This window comes from Homo sapiens, chromosome 1 (assembly GCF_000001405.40).
Source record: "Homo sapiens chromosome 1, GRCh38.p14 Primary Assembly".
NCBI lineage: Eukaryota > Metazoa > Chordata > Mammalia > Primates > Hominidae > Homo > Homo sapiens.
The window spans coordinates 195,091,489-195,098,952 of NC_000001.11; the positions used below are offsets into that span (position 1 = coordinate 195,091,489).

Sequence of the window (7,464 nt, forward strand, 5' to 3'; positions counted from 1 at the left end):
GTTCTGTTTTTCATTTTTTGAGGAAACTCCATACTGTTTTCCATAAAGGTTGTACTAATTTACATTCCTTCTAACAGTGTATAAGAGTTCCCCTTTATCCACATCCTCATAAGCATTTGCTATTTTGTTTTCTTTTTGCTAACAGACATTCTAACAGGGGTAAGAATATATCTGATCCTGGTTCCCTGATAATTAGTGATGCTGAGCTTTTTTAATATACACTTGGCCATTTGTATGTCTTCTCTTGAGGAATGTCTATTCTGATCTTTTGCCCATTTCAAAATCAAATTATGTGTGTGTGTATGTGTGTGTGTGTGTGTGTTTTGCTTTTGAGTTGAGTTTCTTGTGTCATCTGAATATTAGTCCTTTGTCAGATGAATAGTTTACAAATATTTTCTTCCATTCTGCAATTCTCTCTTCACTCTGTTATTTCTTTTTCCTGGCAGAAGCTTTCTAGTTCGATGTAGTCTCATTTGCCTCTTTGGTTTTGTTGCCTGTGCTTTTGAGGTTTTATTCATGCAAACTTTATTTAGATCAATGTCCTAAAGTGCTCCTCCTGTTTATTTTTTAGTAGTTTTATAGTTTCTTGTCTTACATTTAAGTCTTTAGTGCAGTTTGACTTGATTTTTGTATATAGTGAGAGATAGGAGTCAAGCTTTATTCTTTTGCATATGGATATTTAGGTTTCCCAGTATCAATTATTGAAGAGACTGTGCTTTCCAAATTTGATATTCTTGGCTTCTTTCTCAAAAATAAGTAGACTGAAAATACATGAATTTATTTCTGAGTTATCTTTTCTGTTCCACTGGTCTACAAACTGGCCCCCTATAGGAATATAAAGTGTATCCTTCTGAAAGCAAACGTAACTATTATATAATTCTGTGTGCAATTGAAGCAGAATCAAATGACATACAGCACAGATGCTAACAGGTAAAACAATACTAGTGGGATATTTTAAACCACAAAATATACCCCAACAGACATAAAATTCTGGTGTTAAAATAATTGTGTGAACTATTCAACAAGAGTTCAATATAAAATAAATATTGTTAATTTTAAGCACTGTATTCTAAGCACATCTCTCAAACTTATTCATATTGTGTAGGTGAAATTTTATACCCATCGAACAACAACTTTACATTTCCATCTGACCCCCTCCACCCCACTCCTGGTAATCACCATTACATTTGGTGTTCATTGTTCCTACCACACACACAAAAAAAAAGTTTGAGTGGAGAAACAAACTTTTGAAGGTAATGAATATGTTTATCTTCTTTATTGTGTTAATGGTTCCACTGGTGTATTCATATATTCTAACCCAACAAATTATATACATGATATGTTCAATTTTTTGTATGTAAATTACACTTTAGTAAGGCAGATAAAAAGTTTGTGTGTGTGTGTGCTTGTGTGTGTGTATTTATAAAGAGAGAGAGAGAAGATAGAAAGAGATGCTCTAAAATGAACAATTATAAATTTTCAAACTGAAAAAAAGACACCACTTTTATATAATTGGTACACATGGCCTCTTTCCTAAAATTTATTCTGTGTTAGACCAGAAAGAAAATTTCCATAATGGTATTGAAAAATTAGGCACAAATAAAATCTAATTTTATTTTCATTCACCTGTCTAATCTAACTACATTAGATGATCTTGTTACATATTCCATAATATTTTTTCAAAAGATTTCCACAGATTATACTTCCCTTTCATTTTAATTAATTGAGGTCCATCTTTTGCAAATGACTATTGGCTCCATGAAGGTAGAGATCACGTATTTTGTTGATCGTTTCTTCCCAGGATGTAGCATAGCCTGGCAAAATATAGAACAAAAATCATATTTTCAAGTGAATATATGAGTAATAAAGAAAATAAAGGCAAATTTTATTAATATAGTATTTACAAATTTAGCAGAAAAACACAAAAGAGACAATCATCAGTTAATCTCAACTAATGAAGAATTACAGAGATTACAAAAGTTGAGGAAACGAAGATAAAATTTGTATTGTGAGATATAAAAAAATAGAAAATAACAATAGCCATAATAGAAAATTAATATGGGAATATATTTATACATTAATAGGTTAATATATTTAGAAACACACAATCATTTAAAAAGCACATATTACTGAAATGATTTTAAAAATATATAATAAAGGGAAACCAAAATCCTAAAAGGGGTTTCAAAAAATATTAATGTGTTACAGCCTGATTACTACTGTACTTTCCAAAATAACAAGACCATTAAATATTATACAGGTTATTATAAAAATAGTTATACTCAATTATTTTGTAGGTGAATACTTGTAAGCCCTTGGTGGATGTATGACTGTCACATTTAAATTATTAGAGCTTGATGAAAGGATATCTCAATTTTTATAAGAAAAAATACCAATGTATTCAAAATAAATTTATAGATTAAGCTTATATTTAAATATTAATTCAACAACACAAAATATTAGCAAATAGTAATCATCACTATGTTAAATAATAATATACCATGACCGCAGACCACATATGGGTACTTTAAGAATATAAGCAGTCTGGGCCAGGTGTGGTGGCTCATGCGTATAATTCCAGCACTTTGGGAGGCCGAGGCAGGAGGATCACAAGGTCAGGAGATTGAGACCATCCTGGCTAACACGGTGAAACCCTGTCTCTACCAAAAATACAAAGATTAGCCAGGTGTGGTGGCGGGAGCCTGTAGTCCCAGCTACTCAGGAGACTGAGGCAGGAGAATGGCGTGAACCTGGGAGGTGGAGCTTGCAGCGAGCTGAGATCGCGCCATTGCACTCCAGACTGGGTGACAGAGCGAGACTCTTTCTCTAAAAAAAAAAAAAAAAAAAAAAAAAAAGAATATACGCAGTTTGATATTAAAAATATTGTTATTTTTATTCTTTTTAGTGGTCGGTTGAATAGGCTAAATAATGCTAAATATTTTCCATAAGCTTTTAAAATTTAGAATAGCTTTAAATTTTAAATGTCTAAAATGTTTAATTAAGTCTGCAAACCAGAGAAAGCTTCTGTACAGATTAGTTCAACAAGGTATTAAACCTAGCACTCATTAGTTAGTACTCCATGGTGTATATGTACCACATTTTCTTTATCCAGTCTACTATTGATGGGCATTTAAGTTGATCTCACATTTTTGCTATTGTGATTCATGCCACAATGAACATCTGCATGCATATGTCTTTATGATAGAATGTTTTAAATTCCTTTGTGTATATACCTGGTAATGAGATTGCTCTGTTGCATGGTAGTTCTGTTTTCAGGTCTTACAGGAATTGCCACACTGCTATCCACAATATTTTAAATAATTTACACACCTGCCAACAGCATGTAAGGTGTTTCTTTTTCTCCACAACCTTGCCAGAATCTATTATTTTTGACTTCTTACTAATAGCTATTCTGACTGGTGTGAAATGGTATCTCAATAAAGTTTTGATTTGTATTTCTCTAACTATCAGCAATATTGAACTTTTTTTCATATGATTGTTGGATGCATATTTTTCTTCTAAGAAGTGTCTGTTCACGTCCTTTCCCCACTTGTTAATGAGGTTGTTGTCATCTTGTAAATTTGTTTAAGTTCCTTATGAATGATAGATATTAGACCTTTGTCAGATGCATAGTTTGCAAAAGTTTGCTCCCATTCTGTGGTTGTGTGTTTAATCTGTTGATAGTTTCTTTAGCCGTGTAGAAGCTCTTTAATTAGATCCCGTTTGTCAAATTTTGCTTTTGCCAGAATTGCTTCTGGCATCTTCATCATGAAATATTTGCTCATTCCTGTGTCCATAATATTACTTCGGTTGACTTCTAGGATTTTTATAATTTGTGGTTTTACATTTAAGTTTTTAATTGAGTTGATTTTTTTATGGTGTAAGGAAGGGGTCTAGTTTCAATCTTCTGCATATGGCTAGCCAGTTATCTCAGCACCAATTATTGAATAGGGAGCCCTTTCCTCATTGCTTGTTTTTTATCAGCTCTGTTGAAGATCAGATAGTTGTAGCTGTGTGGTCTTATTTTTGGGTTTTCTATTATGTTCCATTGGACTATGTGTCTGTTTTTGTACCAGTACTATGATGTTTTGGTTACTGCAGCCATGTAGGACAGTTGGAAATAGGGTAGCACGATGGCTTCAGCTTTGTTCTATTTATTTAGGACTCCCTTGGCTCTTCAGGCTCTTTTTTGGTTCCATATGAATTTCAAAATAGTTTTTTTTCTAGTTCTTGTTAAAAAGTCATTGGTAGTTTGATAGGAACAGCATTGGATGTATAAACACTTTGTACAGTATGACCATTTTAATTATGTTGATTTTTCCTATCCGTGAGCACGGGATATTTTTTTCCATTTGTTTGTGTCATCTCCGATTTTTTTGAGCAGTCTTTTGTAGTTGTTCTGGTAGAGATCTTTCACCTCCCTGGTTAGCTGTCTTCCTACATAATTTATTCTTATTGTGGCAGTTGTGAATGGTATCGCATTCCTGATTTGGCAATAGCTTCACTGTTGTTGGATGTATAGGAATACTAGTGATGTGCCAGCAATGCCCCATCTGGAGCGGCCCCTGTGAGGACGCTGGCTGCAGCAGAGGAGCCAGTGCTCCCAGGCACAGCTGCAACTGCTCAGCTATGGCTCCAGACCTCGGCATCCCTGCACTCTAGGGGGCCCAGGAAGCTCCTTGCCTCCGCAGGATTGAAAGTGGCTGCTCCTGCTTCCTGGCCTCTCCCTGCTCCTGGTGCCGGCTCTGGGGTGAAGCAAAGTTGTGGCTGACCCTGGGCACTGTCACGACTTGGCTGGGTGTGTGCATGCTTGGGGCAGTGCTGACACATGAGCCCCCTGCCACCCTAGTCCCTTCCGAACTTTGAGCTCCAATGAGCATGGGAGGGAGCCTGAAGGGGGGCTGAGGGTGGCTCAACGTGGGCCTGCAGGTGCCCCTCAGCATGAACAGCTTTGGCGCTGTGGCTGGCATGTTAATGGCGATGGAGGCAAACAGGCTCCTGGGCACAAAGGGGCAGGTCCCAGGTGAAACCCCACCTTCAAGCCAGGGATGGCCTGAAGCCTGGGGCCAGGCTGCCAGTTCCAGGTGAAGTCTGTGGCCCGGAGTGAGAACTTATGGTGCTTATCATCACCCACGGACCAATCAGCATGCACTTCCTCTGTTCTGAGTCCATAACAACCCCAGATTCAGCCAGACTCAGAAAAACATCAGGACTACCAGCCGTGGGAAGGAGCTATGCACTTTGGATCTCTTCCACTTGTCAGGATGAACTGCCTGCAGAAAGGGGCTACCCACTACGGGGTAGCCCCTACAACTATCTGATCTTCAACAGAGCTGATTAAAAACAAGCAATGAGGAAAGGGCTCCCTATTCAATAATTGGTGCTGCAATAACTGGCTAGCCGTATGCAGAAGATTGAAACTGGACCCCTTCCTTACACCATAAAAAATCAACTCAATTAAATACTACCCTGCTGAGACCTGGATGCTCATTGGGATGACCTGTCTGTGGAAAGGAGCTGCCCTCTATGGGTCTCCTGAGAGCTGTTCTGTGTCTCAATAAGCTCCTCTTCACCTTGCTCACCCTGCAATTTTTTGCATGCCTTATTCTTCTTGGGCACAAGACAAGAACTCAGGACTTGATGAATGGCAGCACTGAAAAAGCTGTAACACAAACACTACTGAAATGCTCCACAGCTTGCCACGTGGTGAGTGAAGAGAAAATGAGAAGATCTGCAGCCTTTTGGGGAGCCCAGACCTAGGGCACAGAGCCAGGGCTGTGACACCTTCTTTGGAGCTCTGTGGTTCCTGGTATCTCCATTGTTCCAGGTGCCACTTCATTACCCTCATCCAAACACAGGTGCCTGCAACAGAAGCCACTTGTGGTATATTTGATCTAGCCGCAGCCTTGCATGGAGCAGGAGCCTGTGCTGGTCCCTGGAGCTGCCTGCTGCGCCACAACAGCCAGTGTGCCTGGCTGTGTGCAGTGGCCAGAACCCATGCTCACTCACTCACACACCCCTCGCTACTCATGCCTGACTCACCCTTGACAGGTGTGGAATGCAAGCTGGCAGTGCAAGCAAACCACAGCCTGCCAGGTCGAGAGGGCAGAACAAGCCCAGAAGGCTCAAGCAAAAACTCAGGCAAAGGTGTCACCAGCCACAGACATTTCTAGCAGGAAAAGTGACACCCTAAATATCCTGAGACACTAGTGATTTTTGTGCATTGATTTTATATTGTGAAACTTTGCTGAAGTAGTTTATCAGCTTAGGGAGCTTTTGTGCCAAGAATATGGGGTTTTCTGGATATGGGATTACATTATCTGCAAAGAGGGATAGTTGGACTTCCTCTCTTCAAATTTAGGTGTCCTTACTTCTGTCTCTTGACTAATTGCTCTGGCCAGGACTTCCAATATTATGTTAAATAAGAGTGGTGAGAGAGGACATTCTGGTGTTGTACCAGTTTCCAAGAGGAATACTTCCATATTTCTTTGCCCAGTTAGTATGATGTTGGCTATGGATTTGTCCTAAATGGCTGTTACTATTTTAAAGTATGTTCTTTCAATGCCTAGTTTGTTGAGGATTTTTAACAGAAAAGGATGTTGAATTGTATCAGAAGAATTTTATGCACCTATTGAGATGCTCATGTGGTTTTGTCTTTAGTTCTGTTTATGTGATGAATCACATTTGTTGATTTGTATATGTTGAAACAACCTTGCATCTCAGAGATAAAGCCTACTTGATTGTGGTGGATGAGCTTTTGATGTGCTGCTGGATTCGCTTTGCCAGTATTTTGTTGAGGATTTTTGCATCAATGTTCATCAAGGGTATTGGACTGAAGGTCTTTTTTTGGTTTTGTCTTGGCAAGGATTTGGTATCAGGATAATGCTGGCCAGAGAGGCTATGATTTAAGGAAGAGTCCCTCTTCCTCAATATTTTGGAATAGTTTCAGTAGGAATGGTACCAGTTCTTCTTTGTACATCTTGTAGAATTTGTCTGTGAATCCATTTGGCCCTGAGGTTTTTTTTTTTTGTTGGTAGGTTTTTTAATCACTGATTCAATTTTGGAGCTTGTCATTGGTCCATTCTGAAATTCAGTTTCTTCCTGGTTCAATCTTGGGAGGGTGGATGTGTCCAGGAATTCATCCTTTTCTTCTAGATATTCTAGTTTGTGTGTATAGAGTTGTTTCTATTATTCTCTGTGGGGGTTACATATAGTTCTGTGGGGGTCAGTGGTAATAAGGTCTTTGTCCTTTCTAATTGTGTTTATATTCTCTGCTCTTCTCTTTTATTTGTCTCTTCTCTTTTATTTGTCTGTCAAGAAGTCTACCTATTTTAGTAATTTTTTCGAAAAGCCAATTCCTGGATTTGTTGAACTTTTGAATGGATTTTGTGCCTCAATCTCCTTCAGTTCAGCTCTGATTTCGGTAATTTCTTGTCTTCTGCTAGCTTTGGGGTTGGTTTTTTA

General features: G+C 38.3%; 1 annotated feature.

Moving 5' to 3' along the window:
* Positions 4,879-5,491: an enhancer, noted in NCBI's record as "H3K27ac-H3K4me1 hESC enhancer chr1:195065497-195066109 (GRCh37/hg19 assembly coordinates)". NCBI's record gives its function as "activates a minimal SCP1, AML or CMV promoter by ChIP-STARR-seq in naive H9 embryonic stem cells {active_cell/tissue: H9 hESC(naive)}" and the evidence as "EXISTENCE:reporter gene assay evidence [ECO:0000049][PMID:30033119]".